The sequence below is a fragment of the Homo sapiens genome, chromosome 2, assembly GCF_000001405.40.
Source record: "Homo sapiens chromosome 2, GRCh38.p14 Primary Assembly".
In the NCBI taxonomy this organism is placed as follows: Eukaryota; Metazoa; Chordata; class Mammalia; order Primates; family Hominidae; genus Homo; species Homo sapiens.
Window position 1 is genome coordinate 16,067,096 of NC_000002.12, and position 27,816 is coordinate 16,094,911.

The 27,816-nt window shown below is 48.0% G+C and overlaps 1 long non-coding RNA gene across 1 annotated transcript in view; it reads left to right on the forward strand.

Annotated features, from left to right (window-relative positions):
• GACAT3 (gastric cancer associated transcript 3) overlaps positions 1-18,594 on the forward strand; it is a 35,263-nt gene extending 16,669 nt beyond the window's left edge. The window contains exons 2-4 of the long non-coding RNA NR_126559.1: positions 6,209-6,347; positions 13,803-13,995; positions 18,194-18,594. This is a non-coding gene — a long non-coding RNA (gastric cancer associated transcript 3). The remainder of the gene's footprint in view (positions 1-6,208; positions 6,348-13,802; positions 13,996-18,193) is intronic.
• The last annotated feature ends 9,222 nt before the right edge of the window (positions 18,595-27,816 follow it).

A 27,816-nucleotide genomic window follows, 5' to 3' on the forward strand; every position in this document is an offset into this window, starting at 1 on the left:
AGGCAAAGGCAGTGGAGGCAACGTGGATGACGCAGGTTGGTTAAATTCATGTGTATTTTAAAAGGGTGACTGTCCATTATGCACACAACTCACAGGCTCTGCTTCCTGGAGAGCCAGGCCGTTGCTTTTTTGATGAAAGAAAATCATTTCAACATGCGGAAGGAGAGGGCTTTTTGACTATAGCTTCTTCGAAGTGTGACCTCCAAATGGTCACATATCAAGGTGCCTCGTATTTACCTTCATGCCGGGCTTTCAAATCAACAGTTGGAGACTTTCAACATTTCTATTGTGCGGTTTTAGCGCACGGATTAAAAAGAAATCCATCTGTTAATATTTGTTTTTCTTGTCCTTCGTTAACCAAAGATTCTTAGGAACTTTCCAATTTGAAGGAACAACTTTTATTCATCATCTTGGTTAGAAGCAGCTTCTGCAGCTTGGGCCTTCCTCTTAGAGGGGAGCACATCTTAAATAAGGAAGGACTTGGTGAGTGATACTAGCCCTTCTCTAGCAGAGCGAGATGCCAAAAGGTACAGGCCTGGTTCTAAGGTGCTGAATGAACTAACTGCAAATGGTTGTTGATTCTGTTTGCTTGTTGGAGCGCCTACTGTGCGCTGGACAGGGAGCTGGACACCTGGTAAATCTTCTATAGTCTTTATAACAATGTTGCAAAGTGAGCATTATCAATATCCCTGCTTAAATGAGACAGCGTGGAGAGGTTAAGGAATTTACCTAGAGCCACTCAGCTAAGTAGTTGAGCTGGGATTCAAGCCACATGTGTCTGTCTTTGTGGCCTCTATTGGGTCACACTTCCCAGAAGCCCTGAAATCACCAGGGAAAAGATGGCGTCTCCGAGAGCCCACCGAGGGGGATGGGGGACTTAGGCTCATCTCGCCAGGGTGGGGGAGGTAGAGGGAGCAGCCAGATGCTCCAGCCATCTCAGGTCAAATGAAGCCTGATCCTTTCTCAGCTTGATTTGACCTAGAACTGGGAAACAGATGGGTCCAAGCAGCCCCAGGGTCTGAGGACGGCTGGGCAGACACATGCGTCCTGGCTGCAATCGCTCTCGTTCTGAGGGCCCAGGGCTGGGGGCTGCCCTGGGACCCAAGCTCCAGTGTGGGTCTTTTGACTTATAAAACCTTAGCTAGGAATTCCTCTGTCAGGCTAGAGGGCTCGTCCTTTCTGAGGGCAGTAGACCCAGGGAGGCCCAGAGCAAATCCAGGGAGATAAGGCAGATGTCAACAGATGCATTGTAAACAACGTGGTGTGGATACTGGAAGAGATAGCGGAGGAGATAAACAGGAATCTAGGAAAGGTGCCCCATGGACTTGAGGCTAACTCAACCCCAAAGAGCTGTCCTTTTGCAATGCTGGGCCATGAAGCTGTTTAGAAACACCCTCTAACTGTATGAGCATGGGACCTGGCTCACAGATTTTTACTACATGTGTGTTAAGTGAATGAACTAATGAATAGAGACCTAGGCATTATTCATTCACTACTCATTTACTGATGTGAGGACAAACAGTTCCAGTTTGTCTAGGACTAAGGGGTGTCCCGGGATGTGGGACTTTCAGTGCTAAGACAAGGAATGTCCTGGGCAAACCAGGACTAGTTGGTCTCTGTAGTTACTGAGGATCTATGATGGACTGGACCCTGGGCCCCCACTGGGCATATGGAGGTAAGTCAGACTCAGTTCTCACTCTCAAGAAGTGCACAGCATGGTTGCAACAGGAAGATAGAAGGAAGAGTGGCAAGTGTCATGATAGGGCCATGAACAAGAGTGAGGCTATGGAGCCTGACACTTTGGCGATGGCTTTTTTTTTTTTTTTTGAGATGGAGTCTCGCTCTGTCCCCCAGGCTGGAGTGCAGTGGCTCGATCTCAGCTCACTGCAAGCTCCGCCTCCCGGGTTCACGCCATTCTCCTGCCTCAGCCTCCTGAGTAGCTGAGACTACAGGCGCTCCCCACCACGCCCGGCTAATTTTTTATATTTAGCGATGGCTTTTAAGAGGAGGAGTAAACACTGGCTTGAGTCTCATGGGAGAGGAACTCACCAGATCCCTACAAGAAGCTTGGAAAGGGCCTTGAGGTTAAGAGACAGCTGGGACTAAGGCCTAGAGGCTCACACAACAATGGTTTGGTTCAAGAAACAGTAGGCAGCATATGTGCGTGTTGGAGGGGTGGGATTGGGAGCATGTGGAGGTTGTAGGGTTGGAGAGGTATTTGAGGGTCCAGTTACAAGTGGTAAGCTATGCTAAGAAAGATTAAATTGATAATATAGGCAATAGGGAGCTGTTGAAGGTTTTCTGAGCATGGAGAGATAGAATCAGATATTACAAAACATTTCATTCATTCAACACATGTTTACTAAGCATCTATTATGTGCCATACATTGTGCTGGAGGAATGAATGAATAAATGCATGCATGCATGGCTATCACTTAATTTTCCAATCACAGTGAGGATCCTTGAAATCCAGGGACCAGCTGATGTGACTTGTGGGCCTATGATCTCTGTCAGAAAATCATTCTGCAATGAGCAAATCTAAGACAGCCAGCATTGGCTCCCGCCACCGCCCCCTTATCTGTTTTTCTTTTTGCAAAAGACCTTGAGGCCTGTAGTCGGTTCCACTACAAAACGGTTACACAATTTCCCTGGGAGAAGGCGAGTTTCCACCTTTGGGGATGAATGAGCCCTTTCTTTTCTGGAGAGCCGGCCAATGAGGCACAGGCTGGGTACTGCAGGAGGCGCGGCTGAGGGAACAGCAGGCCTCGGTCTAATTTGGGGGTAACTATTTGTTTTTTCATTAAACAAAGTCTGCATGGTAGGAATTGTGGTTGCAGGAGCCTCGGGAGGCCGATAAAGCAGGCAGGGCGAGTCTGCCGGGAGCAGCGGGCGAGGGAGCTGCTCTCTGATTCTGCTGCTGCCCAAAGCTTCCACTTTTCTGGGGCTGCAGGTCCTATAAATGGTGCCTTTGAGGAGGCTGCCCTGGTGACAGCAGGACCCTCCCTGCAGCACCCACTCGGCCACTGACTTCTGAAAGCGGGATTGTCCCTCCCCAAGCCCTGCCCTCCTGCGACATTCCTCATGCTGACCATTGTCTGCAGAAAGAGGCCATTGTCTGGGGCTGACATATCTGCTGACCAGGCACATGAAACAAGCAGAGCTTTGGGGAGGAAGAAATCCACCCAAACCAACAAAAAACCTGAGCCTAGCCTGAGGGCAGGGCTTAGACCCAGCTTGCTGAATTTCCTGATTCACTGGTGTTCTTCCCGAGACGAAGTGCCCACCATTGTGGGAGGATCCGAGTTTTATCTCTGGGCTGGAATGACACCGTCTCTGCCTTTGTGTCAACAGCACTGAGAGGCCTTGTTTAGGATGATGTGGCCAGTGCTGAGAAGGGCTTGTTTGAAGAGAAAAAAGAAAAAAACAGAACAATGTTTATCCAGCAGGCAGCTCCTGCCAAGGCGGCCTCCTCGCTGTCCTCTCCGTAGGATGCTGCTCGCCAGGCCTTCTTGGCTGTTCCTCGGCCTTGGGTGCAGGCCGTGGGTGGGGGGACAGCCAGCTGGTAGACACCGGTATTCGATGTCAGCTCTTACAACAGGGAGGTGGGTAAACAGGCTGCTGTCCCCACCTCTCCCAGGCACCCCCTGTGGCCTTGACTGCCCAGCCCTCCCCCTAACATCTTCCCCACCCACAACTAAGTTAACTCACACCAGGGGCAGCAGAGCCTTCAGACCTGTGGCCGCTACATCCATTCTGGGCACTTGGTGCCCCCACATGTACCCTTCCCTTCGGATTTGGAATATCACCGCTGCATGCAGGCACATTGCTGAGGCCAGCTGAATTGCCTTTGGGCATTAAGCCTCAGAGAGCCTCGCTACTCAAATGGTGGTCCCAGGACCAGCAGCAGCGGTGTTACCAGGGGCTAGTTAGAAATGAAGATTCTCAGGCCCATCTTGCTGTGTCAGAATCTGCATTTTAACAAGATTGCCTGCATCTATTTGCACATTAAGTTTGAGAAGCACTGGTCTACATCAGTGGTTCTCAAACAAGGCAGCCTATTGGAATCACCTGGGGAGCTTTTAAGAGTCTCAAAGACCAGGCAGCCTCTCCGGCCAATTATATGAGGATCTCTGGGGTGGGGGCGGTGGGGAGTGACACTGGAACATCAGTGTTTTCTCACACTTTCCAAATGACTTCAATGTGTCTCCAGGTTTGAGGCAGAGGAGCTAGGATGGGGCCCTCTTTCCCCAGTCCTTGGACTGGGTTTCCGTCAGTCACGATATTCTCACTTAGTACAACTCAGCAACTTTTCCTGAGAATTTTCTATGTGCCAGGAACCACAACAATTGCTGAGGTTTTATCAATGATGTTGGTACGTGTTCACTTCTGCAATGTCTTTCTGGCCCAAAGAACTCCTAGTCATCCTTCAAAGCCCAGTTTAGAAACCTCCTTCTCTGTGATGTGTTTTTTGACCTCTTGAAATGGGGAAAATGCTTCTTCCTTTTAACTCACATTGTCCTCTGCATTTTTCTATTATTGAATTTGTCATGCTGAGTCATAAACATCTATTTACCAATCACTGGACTGGGAGCCTCAAGGACAGGGACAGTATATTATTTATCTGTCGCCACGCTGGAGTGTGGTGGCGCGATCTTGGTTCACTGCAACCTCCGCCTCCTGGCTTCAAGTGATTCTCCTGCCTCAGCCGCCCGAGTAGCTGGGACTACAGGTGCGCACCACCACGCCCAGCTAATTTTTGTATTGTTAGTAGAGACGGGTTTCACCATATTGTCCAGGATGGTCTCGATCTCTTGACCTTTCGATCCACCCGCCTCAGCCTCCCAAAGTGCTGGGATGACAGGCATGAGCCTGGGCTATATCTTATTTATCTTTGCATCCCGGGGTCTAGGGCAGGGCCTGGGCATAAAGCAGGTGCTCAGTAAATGCTGTTGACTGATAACATGAATGCCTGAAGGAATACAAGAATGGGTGAAGATACATTCCCTACCCTTAAAAAACTTAAATTCTAGAAGGAGAGACCATCATGTGCAAAATTAATGTGACATTAACGTCTGATGGGTGTTTGACAGAGGTTTACCCAACTTCTGTGGGAGTGCAGGGCTGGGAGAGGGCCATCGACAGTGAGATCCGGAGTGGTCCACGCTCTGCTTATTATCGCTTTTCCAGTGTATACACCAGGGATGTCACTCGAGTGGTCCTCTTTGGCTCCTTTCCTTGTTGTAGTTGGAGACAAGAAAATAGTCCAATAAATGGAAGGTAAAGATATTTTTACATTTCTAGAAGGTGGTTGTTCTGCTACATGCAGAACAGATGACTGTGGTTAGACTGTCAGGCCCTGGACCCAAGTCTGGAGAGCCTCAGATAGAGGGAGGAGTCTAATGGGCCCAGACAACTGCTAAGCAGCTGCTGCAGTCCACGCTGGCCACTATGTGTCTACAATGGTGTAGGTTGTGGGGTGGCTGGTCACAGCTAAGATCAGGGCCCTGGCAGAGTGAAGGCCTGGCCCATCAGAGGCAGGACGCACTGCCCAGGCAGGTGTGCATCTGGCTCATGTGGGCTCCTTCCCCGCAGAGGCTTCGCAAAGCTAAGCCATCCTGTCCTGGAGGAAGGGCAGAGGCCAGTCAATCAGCTAAATGGGTACAAAAAAGCAATAGAGACAGAGCAAGTGTAAGGCAGGTGCTGGAAGCTGATGAGCACAGCAGAGGTCAGTGGGCACAAAGGTTTGAGCCAAAGGACAGCAGGCTGGAACAGGCAATGGGGAGGGGCTCTGAGACACGCAGAAGGGGGTTCTGACTCTTATGGCAGAGATTTTAAGCCCCTAGGGTGGCATGATAAGGAAGAAAAGGGTTCAGTGAAGGGTAGTAGAGATGACGGGTGATTCCTTTACCTGCACAAAAGAGGAGAAAGCTGGGAGGGCTGACACTAATGCTACTATTGGCAGCTTGGCTGGAATCTCTCCCCTAGAGCAGCCCTGAGGGTCTCTCCTAGAGCTCAGTGGAGACACAGGCCGCATGGCTGCTTGGCTGCTAGCAGATACTCGGGGGTCCTGGGATATTTGGGAGGAAGGTTTCCATTTCCCTGTCTTTTCTCATTTTCCTGCACAGGCCAGGGATTCATTTTCTGCGTCAAAGATATCTGTTCTACTCTTTAGCAATGCATCTCTCTCTTCCCTTTGCACCACACACAGCCAGCTCCTGTGTAAGGAAGTCAAGATTTTCTCAAGGGAAAAATCACCCTAGAAACCATCAACTCATGACAAACGTGATCTCCAACGTTCATTGTGGAAAATAGCCTCAAGGATGAGATGATGAGGATTTTGAAGATGGGTGAGTAGGTCGTCTACTTCCCGGAGGAGAAGGAAGGCCAGGACTCTCTGGGGCATGTCCTAAATGTCCTTCTCTTCAGTTCTGACTTTTCAAATCTGTCTCTTGCTGGGGCCAGCGAGGAGGGCTGGGCAGGATGGGCACCCGAAGAGGCTGGGAGGGAAGATGCTGAATTCCAGGGGGCCCTACATCATCCTGAAGGTCAAATTGAGTGAGCCTAGTTCAGAAAGGTCCAAGGCAGATCACAGGGCTGGAAAAGGGATGGAGCTGCTGGGTAGACACTCTGTGTAGACTCTGGGATGAACTGGGAATGGGAGCCAACGTCAAGCCCAAGCCAGGGAGCCTGGTGAATGGCCTCCTTCGATAGCTGAGGAAGCCTAAACCATTCTTTTGTTGGCCACTGGGTGAGGGACACACATGGGACTGTCAGACTTGGTTCAGGAAGTTGGCAGGTACATTACCCTCCAGGAAGTCTCTCTGATAACCCCAGAGGGTGATGATCTTGCCCTCCTGGGATTCACTCTGCACTTGTACTTTCCCCTATGAGGACAGGCATGTGTCTCTCTGCCCCACCACACACAGGCCTAGTACGTTCCGCAAGGCTGGCCTGGTCTTGTCCCTTCTGTGGTCCTCTGGGTGTCCAGCTGAGGACCTGACCTGCCCTGGAGCACAGTGGGCATTTCCTAAATCAAATGGACAAATGGATTGACTTGTCTCTTGCTAAGAGCGCCTACCTTCGGGGTGTGGAGGTAGAGACAGGAGAGAAGCTCAGGATGCTGCTCAGAACAACCCATGGCTCAGACTTCCCACCTGCAAGATGAGCAGACGGGCAGAAGGGTCCTCTCCTTGTCTGCCACCCGCATGGCGTGCTGTGAGGAGCCTGTGAGAACCTGCCCATCACCATGAGAAGTGCAACACCAACCTCAGGTGGAAGGTAGGGTCGAGGGATGGTCGGGGCTTTACCCTGTCACCAGACTGCCAGGAGTGAGGCTGGCTCTGCTGCCGATTGTTGTCCAATCTGGGGCCAGTGACTGAGTCCTCATGCCCCAGACTCCTTATCCGCCACGGGGGCTCTTGTGAGGATTAAACGAATAAACTTACTTACATAAAACCACTCAGGCAGGGAAGTGTGCTGTGCTCCAAAGTTTGGGACCCTTACCCTGATTCCAGATTTCTCACGTTACCAGTCTTTAAAACATAATATTGACGGCCGGGCGCGGTGGCTCACGCCTGTAATCCCAGCACTTTGGGAGGCCGAGGCGGGCGGATCACGAGGTCAGGAGATCGAGACCATCCTGGCTAACATGGTGAAACCCTGTCTCTACTAAAAATACAAAAAATTAGCCGGGCGAGGTGGCGGGCGCCTGTAGTCCCAGCTACTCAGGAGGTTGAGGCAGGAGAGTGGAGTGAACCCCGGGGGGCGGAGCCTGCAGTGAGCGGAGAGCACACCACCGCACTCCAGCCTGGGCCACAGCGAGACTCCGTCTCAAAAAACAAAACAAAACAAAGCAAAACGTAATACTGACTTCTTAAAAAAAAATTAACTTTTATTTTATATCCAGAGGTTACATATGCAGGTTCGTTACATGGGTATATTGTATGATGCTGAGGTTGGGGGTACAAATGGCCCCAGCACCCAGGTAGTGAGCACAGTGCCCAATAGGTAATTTTTCAGCCTTTGCCCCCTCCCTTCTCTAGTAGTGCCCAGTGTTGATTGTTGCCATCTTTATGTCCATGAGTACCCAATGTTTAGCTCCCACTTATAAGTGAGAACGTACGGTATATGGTTTTTTTTCCTGTGTTAATTCTCTCAGGATTATGACTTTCAGCTGCATCCGTGTTGCTACAAAGGACATGATTTTATTCTTTTTTTGTGACTGTGTAGTATTCCATGGTGTATATAGACCACATTTTCTGCATCCAATCCATTGTTGATGGGTACCTAGGTTGATTCCATGTCTTTGCTATTGGAACTTGTGCTGTGATGAACATATGAAAGCATATGTCTTTTTGGTAGAATGATCTATATTCCTTTGAGAATATATCCAGTAATGGGATTGCTGGGTTAAATGGTAGCTGTTTTAAGTTATTTGAGAAATCGTCAGACTGCTTTCCACAGTGGCTACACTAATTTACATTCCCACAAAGAATGCGTGGCCTTTTCTCCGCAGCCTCTCCAGCATCTGCTATTTTTTGATTCTTCAATTATAGCCATTCTGACTGGTGTGAGATGGTTTTGATTTTCATTTCTCTGATGATTAATGATGTTGAATATTTTTTCATATAAAACGTAATACTGACTTTGAAGGGCAGTCCTGCCCCATCCCACCAACGGCATTCCTTGTGGGACACAGGAATGGGACATGCTGTGGTCTATTTGCAGAAACTTTACAAATAAGTCTGGTTAGTTAGTAGGATTTGCCCATCATCAGAGTAAAGTCACTCAGGAGCTTAAGGCAAAACAAAACAAACAAAGACAAAACAACACACACAAAAAATCCCAAGCTCTAATTTATTTTTTATTTGTTTGTTTTGTTTTTTTTTCTTTTGAGACGGAGTCTCCCTCTGTCACCCAGGCTGGAGTGCAGTGGTGTGATCTCGGCCCACTGCAAGCTCTGCCACTCGGGTTCACACCATTCTCCTGCCTCAGCCTCCCAAGTAGCTGGGACTACAGGTGCCCACCACCATGCCTGGCTAATTTTTTTGTATTTTTAGTAGACACAGGTTTTCACCGTGTTAGCCAGGATGGTCTTGATCTCCTGACCTCGTGATCCACCCGCCTCGGCCTCCCAGAGTGCTGGGATTACAGGCGTAAGCCACCGTGCCAGGCCTAATTTATTTTTTAAAACATTTTATTTACGTCAAAAATTCCATTTCAGGGCTGGGCACAGTGGCTCATGCCTGTAATCCCAGCACTTTGGGAGGCCAAGGCAGGCAGATCACCTGAGGTCAGGAGTCCGAGACCAGCGTGGCCAACATAGTGAAACCCCATCTCTACTAAAAATACAAAAATTAGCCAGGCATAAAAGTAGGTGCCTGTAATCCCAGCTACTCAGGAGGCTGAGGCAGGATAATTGCTTGAACCTGGGAGGCAGAGGTTTCAGTGAGCCGAGATCGCACCACTGTACTCCAGCCTGGACAACAAGAGTGAAACCCCATCTCAAAAAAAAAAAAAAAAAAATGTGCGTTTCAGAATAATGGCACTTTCCCCTCAACATCTTTGCAGATTTCAGACTATGGTACAGTCCTCCAGGTAGGTGGGTTGTTGCTGAGTTGTCGTCATGTAGTTTTATCAGTCAGTCCACAACTGTTTGCTTCCCAAGAACCTACTGTGTACTTAGCATTGTGTTCAGGCTGTGGAACACCAGGGGGTGGACACGTGCTCACACCCTTCAGAGACACATAGTGTGACTCTCACTCCTGAAATGAAACCGGGCGTGCTTGGTGCCAAGTGTATGACACAGTTGGGCATTTAGGCCAAATGAGAACTGAGGGGGCCCAGAGTTCATCAGGCACCTCTGTAGTAGGAATGCTGCTCACAGAGGGGTCTTGCAGGCTTTGTCAATAGACAGAGCAGGAGGACGTTCCACAACCGTGAAACATCGTAATCGTGGCTAACAGACATGTAGTGCTTACTTTGTGCTTTGCCCTGTTGGAAGAGCTTCTCATATCTAAGCTCAGTTAAATGTCACTACAGCCCCATGAGAGAGCTACTTTTATGATTCTCACGTTACAGAGGAGGACACTGAGTGTTTCAATGATTTGCCTAGGTTCACACAGCATGTAAGTAGCAGAGCCAGGATCAAACCAAGACTTTGATAAACTCTTTCTTCTCTTTTGTTCAATTTTTTCCCCCTATTCCTTTTATACTTGCTCTGGACTAGAGAATTTGATAAACTCTTAACCATCCCACCAGACAGTCCCTCCTTGGATGGGGTCATCTGACTATATTCATGATTAATAAATGTAGATGATTTTAGCAAGAAAAATGTCCAAAACAATGTGAGCTGAGATGCTAAAGTGAGATGTTTGGGTGAATTGGGAAAGAACAAATGTAACACATGATATGACCCTTTGACATGTAGCTGTGGTTCGTACAGATGGAGTTAATGGAGAATGACCAGGAGCTGGAATATGTGAGAGCCAGAGTCCAGGAACAGTGTTCATAATAAACGCCATTTACCAGGTACCCAGGACTGCACTGGGTGCAGGCATGTGTCTTATCTCACTCCATCCTCAGAGGTGCCCCCAAGGGAGAAATAATCCCCTCATTTTGTTGATGAGGAAACTGAGGCTCAGTGAGGTGAGGGGCTAGGATTTGAGCTCCTTTCCATCTGGCCTCCATGCCAAGCCCTTTCCAGCTGTCACGGGCTGATTTGTATCTCCTCTCCCCAGCTCATGTGTTGCAGTCCTAACCACCCCTGGTGCCTCAGAATGTAACTGTATTTGGAGATAGGGTTTTAAAAGAGGTAATTAAGTTAAAGTGAGGTTATTAGAGTGGACCCTAATCCAATAGACTGATATTCTTATAAGAAGAAGAGATTAGGACACAGACACGCACAGAGCAAAGAACAGGTGAAGGCAGGGAGAAGACGGCCATCTATGGGCCAAGAAGAGAGGCCTCAAAAGAAACTGATTCTGCAGATACCTTGATCTTGGACTTGTTGCTGGCAGAACTGCAAAGAAATAAAGTTTTGCTATTTCAGTCATTCTGTCCATGGGTCTTTGTGATAGAAGCCCTGGAAAGCCAACATGCCACCCTATTACGTTGCCTCCCAGCAATTCCAGGTCTTAGATAGTAAGTGGCACGCTGCACTGGTACTTCAAGGCCTGGATCTACCATCTCAGATTTAAGATGACACAGGGCTCCCCTGCATTGGAAGCTTAGCACATCTGGGCCACGCACCACCTTCTGTCTTGCTTTGGGAATGAACTTCTAGTACACACAGAATGGGTGAGTGTGTGAGAAAGTCCCATAGAAAGCCTTCCCAGGTGGGCACAGGGACCGAGGGGACTGGAGGCAGTGAGAGGAGCTGCAATGTGAGGGTCAGTGCTCTGTGGGGGTCTTCAGGACTCTGTGATGCCATCTACTCTTACAGCCCACAGCAAAGGGGAAAGGTGCTTGGTTTATTATATGCTCACAAGCCAGAAGGCCATGGGCTCAGAGGACTGCAGAGAATAGAGCCTAAAGACTCCATCTGACACTCCTGTCTTCCAGGACCAGGGAGAAGCTGAACATGCTCTGTCGTGGCAAAGCCAGGGCAGACCCCAGTATGGGGCTCCATTCTGAGCCCTCACTGTGTGTGGAATAGGTCATGCCTGCATCCACCAGAGGATGAATAGAGGCTGGAAGCAAGCAGGTCAGCTGAGGAACCAGGCTGGAAATGGGGCTGCACCATCTCCATGGGGGAATGGGGGATGACCTGGATTCTGACTCCTTCCAGCTCCAAGTCAATTATTCATGCAGTAGACAGTCTTTGTGTTGGGAAGTCAGGTTTCAGCACATGCCCTTTGGAAGAAAGCATCTACTTCTTGGCGTTTCAGGCCTTTTATCATTTCCCCCAATCTTTCCTAATCTTACTCTTTCCCCTTTCCCTGCATGTCCTCTGCTCCTGCCACGTTGTCCTGCTTACCATCCCTGCATCACACCTTTTCATTTACTCATTCTTGAATTCATTGATTTATTTTTAAAAAAATTTTTATTGAGCACCTACTATGTGCTGTGCTAGAGGAGCTGGGAACTCAGAGTCGAGCAGGACTTGGTCCATGCCCTTGATAGGTTTTGGTCTAGAAAGGAAGGCAGACCTGTGTGTTCACCCTGTTGAGCACACAATACCAGGGTGCTGTGTTTTATCAGAAAGTGCTGAGGCTATGAAAGGGTCTAAATGACTTCCCAGGCTAGGGGCAGGGCACCAGAGAAGGCTCCTAGAAGACATATGGTAGAGTTGGTCAGACGAAGAAGTAGAGAGAGAACATTCCACAGAGAAGATCAGCACACACAAAGGCCTAGGGTCAGAGGGCCCTTGGTGCAGTTGAAGAACTGAGTGGCCACCACTTGCAGTCTGAGTCATACCCTAGAGCTGTGGGAAGCCCGTGGGCTTGTTTTGTGTTTGGCCAGTGTTGATACATCACTATTCATGGAGCTCTCTCTTTTCTCTTTACCTATAGCCCTTACCATCATGGAGCTTTTAGTCTGGAGCAGGGGTTGGCAAACCTTTTTTGTAAAGGGCCAGGTCATAACTGTCTTAAGCTTCGCAGACCATATAGTCTCTGTTGCAACTCCTCAACTCTCCTATTGTCCTGTAAAAACAGCCACAGGCAATATGTAAATGAATGAGTGTGGCTGTGTGCCAGTAAAACTTTATTTACAGAACCTGGTGGTGGGTTGGATTTGGCTCCTGGGCTATGACTTCTGATCTAGAAGAAAAGATAGACCTTGAACAAATCTTGATAACCTGGTGGCAGCTCTCAGTAATGATTTTTCTTCCACTTTCTGGACCACAGTGCGGAGGGTTGAGTTACTCTGCAGTTCATGAAACATTACCTCATTGCTTCATGCCAGGCTCCTCTTCTCATTTATCCACTTAGTTTAAATTCCCATCCCATGCCCCTCTTCTCATAGGCAACTGCTCCAACGCATCTGCTTTGTATCCTTGAAATTACAAGCATCTCTCTAAAGCACGTTGCCTTGTGTGATGTATTCTAAACTTATATAAATGATATTGTGCTATCAACTGTTCTGTTTCTTACTTTTTCCCCGTTCAGCATTGTGTTTTTAAAATCTAAGCTGTGTGTACATCTAGTTAATTGTTTCCAAATGCTGCAAAAAATTTCACATCGTACATCACTAAGTTTTCCTTACTCATTCCTCTGGTGATGGCCACTGAGTTTGCTGCTAGTTGCCCCCAACTCCTGAGTTTGGGCCAGGCATCCTCCTGAGTTTCCTGTGTGGATGCTGCACACCCCTGGCTTTCCCCCTTGGCATGCCCCCTTGTTGTACCATTTGTCCACTGGATGGGATCTGGTAAGCCTGGTGCTCAGTAGAGCCAATAGTATCGGGTGAATGAATTAGTTTTCCTGGAAAGGACTCTGCCAGCTTCCTTTTTGTCTGTCAAACAGTCTAGTAGAACACTTGGTATGTCCTGGTTGTCCCCAAACAGCAGATTTAGCCCCCACCCTGGCAGCACCTGTTCTGTGGGGCATCTTTTCCCTGGCAAAGCGCTTTCCCATTATTGCTTCTTATGTAGTGACTGACTGTTAGGTAGGCTGATTCTTTTTCATATTGCAAACTTGGGGAGCATGATGGCTAATTTTGTATGTCAGTGTGGCTAGGCTAAGGTGCCCATTTGTTTGGTCAAATGCCAGTCTAGATGTCACTGTAAAGGCTTTTTTTTTTTTTTTTTTTTTTTAGATTAACATTGAAGTCAGTAGATTCTGAATAAACATATTATCCTCCAGGTCTTAAGAGAAAACACTGAGGTCCCTCGAAGATGAAGAAATCCTCATGAAGATGAATCCAAAGGTGGATTCAATTTCAGCTGTCTTTGGACTGAAGACTGCAACATCAACACTTCCCAGGGTCTCCAGCCTGCCCGCCTCTCCCGCAAATTTCAGATTTGCAAGTATCCACAGTCATGAGCAATTCCTTAAAGTAAATATTTCTCTGTTTCTTTCTGGATATGTATAGGTTGTTTCTCTGGAGAATCCTGATTAATACATGAAGGGTCAAGATAAGTCTACTCCAGGGTAAGATCTTTCACATGATATTTAAGACTTGAAAGGGACTTCAGGAGACTGTCTGTGACAGCGTCTAGGAGTGACTCCCAGCAGGTGCCACCCTACACAGACGTGGGAAGTGCCAGCTGATGTTCCTCAAATCTGAGTTGAATCAGTGGGCTTTAAACTCAATGAAGACCCACATCATTTCTTTCCTCCATCTGACTTTAGAATGTAAAATCCCTCCAATGGATTCAGGGACCAAGCCTCACTTAAGCCTTGATCATTATGAACCGCTTGTCAGACTAAGCTTAGCCAGCCTACAAGGATCACAGCAGCAAGCCACATAGTGCTTTATTACATGGCCTCTCAGAGCACACAGCACCATACAATGGTTCCAAGGGGAAAGGCAGTCTGCCATCTGATCCCTGTTATTTTTTCAACTTATGCAACACCTATTACTGGGTCCCAGGCACTCAGTAAACTGCTTTTAATTTTCACAACGACCTTGCAAAGGCAGCCCCCTTAGTTCCATTTTATAGATGAGGAGATGGAGCTGGTGTTGTTAAGTCACTTGTTTGGAGCATTCAGAGGTGGGTAGTGAAGGCGGATTCAAGCCCAGGTTTGGGTTGTGAGGCCTGTGATCAGCCCATTGTGCCTCGACTTTTATTCATTCATCTATCCATCTATCCACCCACCCACCCCACCCACCCCTCCATCCATCCATCCATCCATCCAGCCAGCCATCCTCTCTTCAGTGCCAGGGTATGTTCTAGGAGTGGGAGGATCTGGAATAAGATATTTCCTTTTTCTTCAAGGGGCTCACAGGCACATTGAACAATAATGGGATGGTGAGACAGTCCTGACTTGGGGGTGTGGGCAAATTGAGCGTAGAAGTGAAGACACTATTCTTTCCTGGGGTTGTTGCGGGAGGCTGGTAGTTTCAGCGGGAGAGTGTGGCAGAGCTCCCAGCCCTATATGTATACAGGGGGCCATTGGTGGCATTGGAGGAGGGGCTGCCCAGGTGGAGTGGGGACCCCAGAGGCAGCAAGGACATTGCAAGAAGAAGGAAGAGTATGTGCAGAGGCTGTTTGGAGAGCTGGTCACTGGGCTGGGGTGGGTGTGCAGAGCCTGTGCTCAGGGATGAGGTGGATGAGGCTGGAAATGCAGGCAAAGGAAAGAGCTGGAAGGCTGTGCTGAGTGTCCTGGACTCAGCCATCATCCTGGGGATCACCTGGGGCTTTTGTTGTGGGCCAAGACAAGGGTGAGGCAAGTGAGACACTCATTTTAGGTGCAAATTTTAAGGAGAAGCCAAAAAAAACTCAGTTATCAAGATAAATGATAACAAAAATCAGTGCAAAAATGTCCATGATGAGCAATGGAGCGAAGAAACTTTGAAATGAGGACAGGAGTTGACCCTGCACTTGGATGGCTCACCTTGCTCATCTCAACCAAAACCTGGCCCTGCTTTTGTTAAAGACCCAGATTCCTGGTTCTCCCCATGGACCTGCTAGCTCAGGCTCTGCAGAGGAGAGGCCCTGTTATTTCCTAGTGCCCCGGGTGATCCTCACAGTGGTGTTTCTTCTTTCTAAACTGGTTCGTGGTTAACAACACCTATGGACACTCAGTAAAAACAGAGATTCTTGAGTCACTCCCAGACCTTTTGCATCCGAATCTGCCATAAAGCAGCCCAGAAGGCTGGAGATTGAGCACGGGCCTAGGGAGCTTCACACTGTCTGGGCAAGAGGGCAGGCAGTGGGGAATGAAGAGGAGGCTTTTAGGCCAATGGGTCTTGCTTTGATTGGCCCATATATGGGTGCCATTCTGGCTGAGTTTTCCCACTTTTCAATTTCCAAATGGGAAAATGTCCTTGTTGTTAAAGACTGCACACTACACCCCTACAGTAGGTATTCTAAGAGACTGCTTACACAGAAAGCCCCAACTCCTGGCTCAACTTTCAAGGCCTTGCACGTGTGGCCCTCCCTCTCTCTCCAACAGGCTGTCGGCCCAGGACCTCAACATTGTCTCCATCAGGGCTTCCTGCTTGAAGCCTCTTCCCAGGCAGGTCCCCCTGCTAAAGCACCTCGCCATCTCCCCTCTACTACTCTCAATGCTGCTCCATCCTTAAGGCTCAGCTGGGCCCTTCCTCCCCAGGAAGCCCCTCCACCCCCCAGAATGCCACTGCCATGGCGACTGTTCTGTCTTCTGAAGTCTCCACCTCTCCCTCTGGCAAGAACAGTTCTGTCTCTGCTTTCATATGTTCTTGTGTTTTTGTCCTACCCTGGAAGCTTCCTCTGGTTCTTCTGCCTTCCAGGGGTGCTCCTCTAGAAGCAGCGGGGCACTCCCCAAGTTTCATGGCTGCAGAGTCCGAAAACTTAGCTCGAAGTCTTGGCTCCACCTCTTCTGGTGACCTTGGACACATCCTCTGCCCTTTGGTTTCTTGGCACAAGATCTAGCTACCTCAGTGGGGGTGTGAGAGCCAGAGGAGATGGTGTCACTTGCAGGGGGAAGTGCATGATGCTAATGAGGTCATTACCATTCCTAAGTTAGAAGCCCGCAAGCATTTGCCGAGGGTAGTGCGGGCATCTCAGGACTCCATCCTCCCCTCCTCGTGGACAGCGGTTCCGGGAGCCCCAACTCACTGGCTGGGGACTTGCCTCCCACACCAGCACCTTGTCCTCTTCAGCAGGAGGTCGAGGGGGTGATTCTAGCCATCCATTCTTTCCACGCATAGGGCAAACTTAGGGTGGAAATGTTTAGAAAGGGCTTGTTGATAGCTTACTTTATTCTACAATAAGAGATTTTACAAAGATTCAAAGGGAGGTAGAGAAAGTTCATTTTAAAATGTCTTTGATTCAGTTTTTAGGATTCCAGGAGCTTCTGGAAAGCAGGCTTTTATGGAAGGGCACTTGGAAGGAGGTGTGTGTTTTAAATTGCTCTGCAACATGAACATTTTTCAAAGAGACACAGTTCTCTCTTCAAGTGCCACACTAGGAGAAACAAATGCTGTCTGAGTCAGGTGCTCTGTCCTAGCGGCATGGGAGGTGCTGGGAGGCCCAGGATGGAATCGGGGAGCCGGGACCCAGATCCGATCCTCTTGTGTGTTCCGGTACCGGATGCTGGTGTTGGCTGAACAGACTCCGCTCGTGGTTTCATCTCGGTAAAGACAGAGTAAGGGGGGCTTGTTTCTTTGTGTAGAGAGCCTGCTGGTGAGTACGAATGGAAAACTCAATTATCAGTGAGGTTAGGGGCAGGGTGAGAGGTCAGAGCCGAATGCCCGCGCTTCCTCTGGGTGCTGAGAGAGCTGCTCCTGTCTGCACTGCTTGGGAGGAGGATGCATTGATCAGGGTCAAAGGTTGTGTGTCATCAAAGGCGGTCCAGGAATAAAGGGAGCCCTTCCCAGGGATTCTAGGATGGCCTGTGGAAACCCAAGGCAATTCATGCTCAGATGTGCCTCATACCCAACAAGTCTAGAATTCTTATTACAAAATTCACAAGAGAATGTTGCTTTATCTTAGGATAGCTTTCAAAGACTTAGGACTTGAAGGTGGAGAGTTTGGAAACCCTCTCCACCTATCCTCCTCAGCCAAGAATTCTCCCCCCTCTGGGGCAGAGGCTACACATGGCTTCCTTTTTTGAGAAAAAAAACAAAAAACAAAAAACAAAAACAAAACAGTTCATTAAAAAGTTCTTTGTGTAAGTCTGGACACCCCAAAGACAGGACCCTAGCTGCCCTTGTTTCACACTTATCTTTTCCCAGGGGAATATTTCCTTTGTAGACAAGAAAAAACCACACACACAGTAACTTGAGAATTGGAAGTTAAATTTGAACAATAACATGGCTAAAGGATTGTGTAGAGAAACCATAAAGATGGGAAGAAAAAAAGAAAGACGATCTACCAAAAGACAGAGAGGTAAAAAGAAAGACAGAAATTTAGAGGGAAGGAAAGGAAGTTTATGTGTGAACCCAGAAGAAAAAAAAAAAATGCCACACGGGCAGATGCAGCCAACTATCATCTGCTGATTTAAAATACGACAAACATTCCCAATTGCAAGATTCTGAACTAGAGGGGAGAAAGGAGTTTTCCAGCAGATATATACATTTTTCTATAATCATTTCTTGTTTTTTACAGTGAAGTGCAAAAAATGAACAAGGAGGCCCAATGATGCATCTGCTTAACTTTTCAGTTGTCAATGCAAATTAAGCACAAAGAGGACAGAGTTGATGACATATCAGGAACATTTTTTACTTCCGGAGCAGGTCTGAGTCCCAGCGGAAGACTGAGGCCGACTGAGCCAGAGGCACCACTTCAATAGGTCACTGGTCTCTGCAGGGAAAGGAAAAGGTGTAAGAGTTCTCCCTGCATAGATGCTATTTGTGACTTGGATGTTTTCTTTCTAATACAAATGCATCAAAGTGTTCACAGGAATCTAGCTATATGCAAGAAGTCTGGATTATCTGCCTGAGAGAACTGGCCAGTATCTCACCCATGAGCACCAGAACCCATTTCTAGATTACTAAGAAAGGAGCACAAGAACACTGTGTATAAGGCTCTGTGTTCCTAGAACTTTCTAAATTTTACTTAATGCAGGTTAACTTCATCAACCCTGGTGAAAATGCCACCTCCTCATGAGGAAGCCTTCCCCATTTGCTCTGTCTCAGAGACACTTGACTCCATGGACTTCTCTGCAATTCTGTTCTGTGTAGGACTGCCTAGTGCCTAGCCTTCTTGTGATGTTCCTTGCTTATGTCTTGTCTCCCCATTTGATTTGGAGGGTCCTGGGCAGGGACCACTGGGCTGGGCTCTAGTAGGCCCCCTGTAAAGACCTGTTGAGTAATTAGAAGAGACAGTGGCCCCATCTGGGTGAATCCTGAATTTAATCAATTTCCTGGATCCTTGTTTATTTTGCAAGTAGGATAAGAATGTCATTGAAATCCTATCATGTAGTCATGGAAGGGCTAATACAGTCAGTGTACTGCTACTCACTAAGCATGCTGTTTAGCTCAGCGGTTTTTTGTTTTGTTTTGATAACAAGACTGTCTCGATGAAAGAAGCAGGGCGTTGTTTAATATTCTAATGCAGGCTCCTTATTTCACGACATACTGGTAGTTACACTTGGAGTCGCAGTGAAATAAAACATCTAGGCCAGCGCCGTGGCTCACGTCTGTAATCCCAGCACTTTCGGAGGCTGAGGCAGGTGGATCACTTGAGGTCAGGAGTTTGAACCAGTTTGGCCAACATGGTGAAACCCTGTCTTTACTAAAAATACAAAAATTAGCCTGGCGTGGTGATGCATGCCTGTAGTCCCAGGTACCTGCGAGGCTGAGGCAGGAGAATCGCTTGAACCTGGAAGGTGGAGATTGCAGTGAGCCAAGATGGCACCACTGCACTCCAGCCTGGGTGACAGAGCAAGACTCTGTCTCAAAAAAATTAAAGAAAATAGAAATAAAACATATAGCCTCACCCTCTTCATTTGACAGATGTGGGCTTTGAGGCTGATAGAGAGGTAACTTGTCCATGATTAGACAGCAAGAAATAGAGCTGCAGTTGGTACCAGGGCCTCATAACACTGGGTCTATAATCACAATGAAGCACCACCAGTGTCAATGCATGTAAATTTCACACCCCTTATCACACTGCATCTACAAAGTAGTGCTGAGAACTGGGCATGGCAGGCATTAGTCTCTCCACGAGGAAACAGGCTCAGAGACTCTGAAGATCCGTCCAAATGCATAGAGTGGGGAAGCAGTGAAAAGACGACGTTAGGACATCCCAGCCCTGCCCACGTTCAGAGTTTGTTCCAACACATTAGTCTTCAGATGAGCTCACTATTTTAGTCCTGCGTGCTCCAGCAATGGCCTGAGAGGTGTGGGTACGTGCTGAATGTCCAGGCCTTGTTAAAGATAACTGCAGTACGGGCCAGGCGTGGTGGCTCGCGCCTGTAATCCCAGCACTTTGGGAGGCCGAGGAGGATGGATCACGAGGTCAGGAGTTTGAGATCAGCCTGACGAACATGGTGAAACCCCGTCTCTACTAAAAATACAAAAATTAGCCAGGTGTGGTGGTGGGCGCCTGTAATCCCAGCTACTCAGGAGGCTGAGGCAGGAGAATCACTTGAACCCGTGAGGTGGAGGTTTCAGCGAGCCAAGATCGCGCCATCGCACTCCAGCCCGGGCAACAGAGCGGGACTCCATCTCAAAAAATAAAATAAAAAATGAAAGATAACTGCAGGATGGATACACAAGTGCTATTTTAGAAATTGAAATGCTCCAAGTTTTTAGCAGTTTTATCTGTAATAGAACTCAGTTTCTAAGAGGCTCTATTCCTGTGTCTTCTGGTAACATACCTACTAGTTATCTTAAATCTGTTTTTGAACAAAGTATGGAAAAGATAATACCTCAAAATGAGCCTTGATTTACACAGCAGCAGGCAAGGTCTCTGATAGAAAATACTTTGTAAATCATGAACCTCATGCAAATGCTAGGTATTACTTATATTTTGAAGCCCAGAACAATGAGATGTTTGACATTTTTCAATTAGAAGTATGGAGCTGAGATACTTGTCCATTGAAAACATAACACAACCCATAAAATTGTATTTTTTTTAAAATTTTCTTTTCTTTTCTTTTTTTTTTTTTTTTTGAGACAGAGTCTCACTCTGTCACCCAGGCTGGAGTGTAGTGGCACGATCTCGGCTCACTGCAACCTCTGACTCCCAGGTTCAAGTGATTTTCCCACCTCAGTCCCCTGAGTAGCTGGGATTACAGGTGCCCGCCACCATGCCTGGCTAATTTCTGTACTTTTAGTAGAAACGGGGTTTCACCATGTTGCCCAGGCTGGCCTCAAACTCTTGAACTCAAGTGATCTGCCTGCCTCAGCCTCCCAAAGTGGTGGTATTACACGTGTGAGCCACCGCATCTGGCCTAAGTTTCATTTTTAACAACACAGATTAGTTCAATCAAATATCTTAAATCTTAAAATGAAATCTTTTTGAACAGAAAACCAAATACCACATGTTCTCACTCATAAGTGGGAGCTGAACATTGGATACTCGTGGACATAAAGATGGGAACAATAGACATTGGGGACTGCTACAGCAGCGAGAAAAGGAGGGGTGGAGGGAGCAAGGACTGAAAAACTATTGGAGACTATGCTTAGTACCCGGGTGGCAGGATCAATTGTATCCCAAACCTCAGCATCACACAATATACCCAGGTAAGAAACCTGCACATATACCCTAAGAATCTACAATGAAAGCAGAAATTAGTAAAAATAAAATAAATGTAAAAAAATAAAAAAATACTTTAAGCAAAGCAAGCCACATACAGGAACCAAGAGGATCCTTACAAAGATTGCTTCTTCCTCTGGAGCAGACACCCACCAAGCCGACAACCACAAGTAAGTTTCCTTGCAATTTTAAAAGCCAAGGATTTGCCACACTTTTGTAGACCTCACATAAGCTCTTCATTGCACGTGGGAAACCTATGAACACTTTATTTCCGCTCACAACTTCCTGTCTGGATGTTGGCATTCAGGGGGCCTGGGAAGGGGTTGGTGGGTGCAGGGCCCCCCATGCTCTGTGGCTGCCAGATAAGGCCTCGTTTGTTATAATGAAGTGAATCAAGCTGGCCGATAAGCCTAAGTTCCCTTTTCTTTTTTTCCCCAGGAGAAGTTAGACTCCTCAAGTGTGGGGTCTAGATTTGCTGGAAGGATGCTTAGCTGAACATAGTCCACAGAGAAGGATGGGGAAGATATTTGTTTTCTAGACCTGTGACTTTTCTAATTTAAGTGGCTAACATATGATCTTTTTAAGGAAAGAGGTCTTTACACCAGCTTGGACTGCAGCGGAAAACTGGGAATTCCTTGGCAGAAAATCTCTATTCGATTTATTTTTATTTTTTATTTAGAGACAAGTTCCCAGCCTGACCAACACAGTGAAACCCCGTCTCTACTAAAAATACAAAAATTAGCTGGGCGTGTTGGCGCGCGCCTGTAATCTCAGCTACTCAGGAGGCTGAGGCAGGGGAATCGCTTGAACCCAGGAGGCAGAGGTTGCAGTGAGCTGAGATCTTGCCACTACACTCCAGCCTGGGCTACAGAGCAAGACTCCGTCTCAAAAAAAAAAAAAAAAAAAAAAAAAGAGAAAAAGTCTTGCCCTGTCGCCCAGGCTGGAGTGCTGTGGTGCAATCTCAGCTGACTGCAGCCTCCACCTTGCGGGACCAGGTGATCCTCTTACCTCAGCCTGCAGAGTAGGTGTGCACCACCAGGTCTGGCTATTTTTTTTTTGTATTTTTTGTAGAAATGGGGTTTTGCCATGTTGCCCAGGCTGGTCTTGAACTCCTGACCTCAAGCAATCCACCTGCCTTAGCCTCCCAAAGTGCTGGGATTATAGGTGTTAGTCACTGCACCCGGCTTCTATTTTAATTTTTTTTTTTTTTTTGAGACGGAGTTTCACTTTTGTTGCCCAGGCTGGAGTGCAATGGCGTGATCTTGGCTCACCACAACCTCCGCCTCCCAGGTTCAGTTGATTCTCCTGCCTCAGGCTCCTGAGTAGCTGAGATTACAGGCATGCACCACCAAACCTGGCTAATTTTGTGTTTTTAGTAGAGATGGAGTTTCTCCATGTTGGTCAGGCGGGTCTTGAACTACCGACCTCAGGTGATCTGCCCCCCTTGGCCTCCCAAAGTGCTGGTATTACAGGCATGAGCCACCATGCCCGGCCTTCTATTTTAATTTTAACACACTTTGCAAACTCAACTCACACGTTTTCAGAAAGATTTCAAGGTCTGCTGCCTCTAGGATGAAATGGAAACTCCTAGGCTGGTCTGAATGACAGCAGTGTAGCGTGGCCATAGGCAGAAGAGCCAGGCTGTGGAGGTGGCTGGAATTTGGTCCCAACCTTGACCAGGTACACCCTGGGTCTGAGTGACAGCAGCGTAGCGTGGCCATAGGCAGAAGAGCCAGGCTGTGGAGGTGGCTGGAATTTGGTCCCAACCTTGACCAGGTACACCCTGGGTCTGAGTGACAGCAGCGTAGCGTGGCCATAGGCAGAAGAGCCAGGCTGTGGAGGTGGCTGGAATTTGGTCCCAACCTTGACCAGGTACACCCTGGGTCTGAGTGACAGCAGCGTAGCGTGGCCATAGGCAGAAGAGCCAGGCTGTGGAGGTGGCTGGAATTTGGTCCCAACCTTGACCAGGTACACCCTGGGTCTGAGTGACAGTGGCATAGCGTGGCCATAGGCAGAAGAGCCAGGCTGTGGAGGTGGCTGGAATTTGGTCCCAACCTTGACCAGGTACACCTTAACAGTGAGCCAGGAAGGCTGCCCTACTTCCTGGAGGCTCAAGGTCTTGATATCTGAGATGGGGCCAATGCTAACATCTAAACTCTTAAAGTTATTGTGAAGATTAAAAGAGATAATGAATAAAATGTCTTTTACCCCCAAACACTGATGACCTCCTCCCTCACCCCCTTTTCCTCTTTTTAATTATCTTTCCAGCCTTTTTCTTGCTTCTTAATTCATTGAGGTTATCCTTAGAGGAAGGCCCTAGACACGAGGGGACCGTGTTGAATTCCATGAGGTTCCAGTCCTCAAGGAGAACATCTCCTGGGGCAAACGCACAAGTGAATGGAAGGATGGGGTACACAGGCTGTCCACGGGCTCAGAGGAGGACCAACTAACCTGGCAGTTCCCACTGTCCTTCTGGGCCTGGGTGACTCCTTTCCTAGCTTTGTGTCTACAGTTTTATTCATACCTATTGTCTGTCTTGCAAGGAATATCCTTCAGGCATTTGGGGGAAATGGGTGTGTGTACAAAGAGAGGGAGAAAGAGAGAGAGAGAGAGAGAGAGAGAGAGAGACACTAATCCTCTGTTCCCTGACCACCCAGGGCTCCAAGGAGAAATGGAACAGGACATGGCAGCCACTGTCCTTCCACTCCTGGAAGCACATGACAGTTGTCCAGAGAGCGGGTCAAGAGCCATTCGTGGGTGACAACAAAGGACTCCAGTGCAGGGAAGAAAGGCAGGCAGGATAGTTCTTATGATGTGTGGGTCACTTCACGGTCAAGGCATCCGAAGGGAAGAGGATTCAGCTGGGTTTGTATACAGAAAGGAGGTTCCAACAGGCTAATGCTGGTGAACCCTCAACCCCTCCTTTGGGTCTTTAGAGGGACCCGGAAGTGGCTACCTAGGTATTGGGCAGACTGGGTCCTCAGCCAGTCCTGGCCCCACCAAGGTGAGCCGCAGGGGCTGTGGCCAGGATTCGGGGGCCTTCTCTCCACCCAGCCTTTTGGGCCTTCAAGGGCTGAAGCAGCAGCGGGGCAGGCCACGCCCAGTGGATACGGCTTATCAAGTGCCTGGCCCCCATCTCTCTCCTGAGCACAAAAGCCTCTTGTGTGGCTGAGTGCAGAGAGCGGACACAGGCCATCCTCTCTTCTCCTTGTCATTAATGTAATCAATTTGATCTTGAGGGTGGTTTTGTTTCAGTCTTTCAAGGGGTGAGGGGGACAGAGGGTGGCATTTCTTCTGACTTTGAAGAGCAGAATGAAAGGGTTAAGCAGGAAAATTAAGCCCCGGAAAAAGATGCATCTGGGATCCTCTCTACCTTGTCAGAAAAGAATTTATGCTCAGACCTACAGGAAATTCACCTATTCTTTGGAAAGAAAGTGATTTTGTTATCATTATTGCTACTACTAATATGATTATACTTGTTTACATTTATTTATGTACATCTTACCTCTTTTTCAAAAGGATTTTAACATACCAGTAAAACAGGTTTACAATGATTAAATAAAGGAATGATGGTCAAGAGAAAATAAGGATAGAAGAACTAAGGTGATAACAGGTAAAAAGTTAGAAGTTAACATTTCCCCTCTGAGGGCCTGGGGAATGACTAGATGTGGACAAGGACTCAGTTCTGAGCTTCCTAGCAGCCACATTAATGAGGGAAACACTCACATGGTTCACAGCATCAGCAAGAAGCAAGCTGTGTCAGTAAAAGACAGCACTGTGTGATGTATCAAAAATATGTATTATCAATAAAATCCCTCTATAGATTTGAATATTAGAAGATATGGCCCTTTGGGAACTCCCAGCTACCTCTAGAACAGCATTTTCTGTTTGTTTGGTGTGTTTTTTTTTTTTTTTTTTTTTTTTTGAGACAGAGTCTTGCTCTGTCTCTGTGGCCCAGGCTGGAGTGCAGTGGTGGGATCTCGGCTTACTGCAACCTCCACCTCCTGGGTTCAAATTATTCTCCTGAGTAGCTGGGATTACAGGTGCCTGCCTCCATGCCTGGCCAATTTTTTGTATTTTTAGTAGCGACGGGGTTTCACCATGCTGGCCAGGCTGGTCTCGAACTCCTGACTTCAAGCAATTGCCCACCTTGGCCTCCCAAAGTTCAGGGATTACAGGTGTGAGCCACCATGCCAGGCCTAGAACAACATTTTCTTTTTCTTTTTTTTTTTTTAAGATGGAGTTTCACTCTTGTTGCCCAGGCTGGAGTGCAATGGCATGATCTTGGCTCAGCGTAACCTCTGCCTCCCAAGTTCAAGCGATTCTCCTGCCTCAGCCTCCTGAGTAGCTGGAATTACAGGCATATACCACCATGCCTGGCTAATTTTTTGTATTTTTAGTAAAGATGGGTTTTCTCCATGTTGGTCAGGCAGATCTCAAACTCCTGACCTCAGGTGATCCGCCCGTGTTGGCCTCCCAAAGTGCTGGGATTACAGGCGTGAGCCACCACACCCGACCAAACAACATTTTCTAAATTGTGTCTTCTGAAAAATTGATTCTGTGAGACACTAAGAGGTATTTCTTAAAAGCAGACATTGTTGCCAGATACGCATGGCAAGTCTGACACTCTAGTCCCCTCTCCGAGATTTGCAATGTAGACCACTGAGGACTCTGAGAAGTCTGCAGAAAAAAATACCTGTTTACTTTTGTTCAAACAATCATTTTCCAAACTCTTTTGATCACAGAGCCAGAATTTGGAGAAATCTCTAAATTCATGTGGCAAAAACTAGTTTTCTCAGGGTGCTTCTGGGAAATGCGGCACGTTCTTTCTGGTTCCAATTTCCACACACACATACCAAACAGGTTCTATCTCTTTGGGAGAGTTATGGTGCGCCTATGAGTCCCTTGCCATTTTCCACCTCTGCCTCCCTCAGGGGCTGGACTCCACTCAGCCAGAATGCTAGAAGCCAGCTGGGCTCTGATCTGAGGCACCTGCACCCTGGAGAGACAGAGCAAGACCTCGGGGCCTTTGCACAGCCTTCCAAACCGAGCACCCACAAGATGAATGGATCTTTCATTTCTAATATTTATCCCCTCTCATTGCATAATACCTATGCCAACGAATTTTTGTTCTATTTTACCGAAGACTTCCCAGTGAACCCAAGGGCTCTGGGGTAGGGGTGGGTAGTCCCACGGCACGGGTACCAGGCAATTACATTACAGCATGATAAATACAGATATCTCTGGGCTCTTGGGAGAAACAGAGCCCTGTGTTTCCAGGTAGGTAGGCTTCCTGGAGGAGTTGACACTTTAACAGAGATTTAAAGGATTGGCACAAGCTATATGGAAGAGGAGGTGTGGGGTTGCATTTGAGGCCTGGATGGAACAAATGGTCAGAATTGGCTCTGGGTAGAACAAATGGTGGGGCAGAGGGTGAGGCTGGGGAGCAGGAGGAAGCCAGCCCCGCAGGAGGCAGCATGAGCTTCCTGGCCAGGGTCCTGAGGAAAGGCATCAAGGGACCTCCGGGGAGCATGGCAGGGCTTTCCTGTTAGAGCCTCCTGATGATGATGGACTGTGGTGTAGAAGGATGCATGCCAGCCGTGGGCTGAGGCTGTGATCCACAGAGACGAGAACCCACCCAGGGCAGCAGCTTTGGGGCTCATGGCAGAGCCTCCGCCCTCGGCTCCAGTGGGATAATAGGGCGACATGACAAGCTCTTCGTGCTCCCTGGAGGCTTGGTGCTCCCCCTGGCTGGATGTCAGAACAAATTAAGGGCACTTGTCTCACAAGCCCCACCTGGCCGGCAGCGTCGTGGGGCCGGCTGGCAGGGGAAATGTGTCACCAGCAGCATCTTGGACCTTGGCCATTGGCCTCAGAGCAAGAAAAGCTCTCTCTGCCCTGCCTGTTTAGTGAACAATGTACAGGAGTACAAGAGACTCTATGGCAACCAAAGACCTGTGTCAGGGTCATGGTTCGAGGTTTTCTGTGCTCACTAATGTGGAAAACAGAAGCCTCATGCTACATCAGCATCGCGGCTGGTTTACATAAGCAGTCGGAGGCTGCACAGAGCCAGAGCTGGAGCTGGGGCCGGGGCAGCTCCACATCTTGCATTTGCATGTTGCTAAGTGTGCATGTGTACATGATCTCCTTTGACTTCACAATACCCTGTAACTCTGGGATTCCTTGTTATCCCCATTTTACAGACAAGGAAACCCTGTAGGTTCCAGGGAGGGGCAAGGACTTACCCAAAGTCTGATTCTAACTTCAGTGCTCTCTTGAATTGACTAGATGTGGAGGCGTCTCAGAGCTTGGTGTAACGTGAGCTGGTGGGCAGAGTCCCCTTCCCCACCAGTGTCTCCCTGAGTCCTGATGCCAGGAGGGCAGGGCCCCCTAAGGTAGGGCACCTTGAATGCATCCTGGGCTGATTCTGGGGTCTGAGGACCAAATGGCTGGGAATGAAACAGGGACAATGAGTTGGATGTTTTCATCCAGTGCTTGGAAGCCGTCCTGGAGTTACCACTAACAGT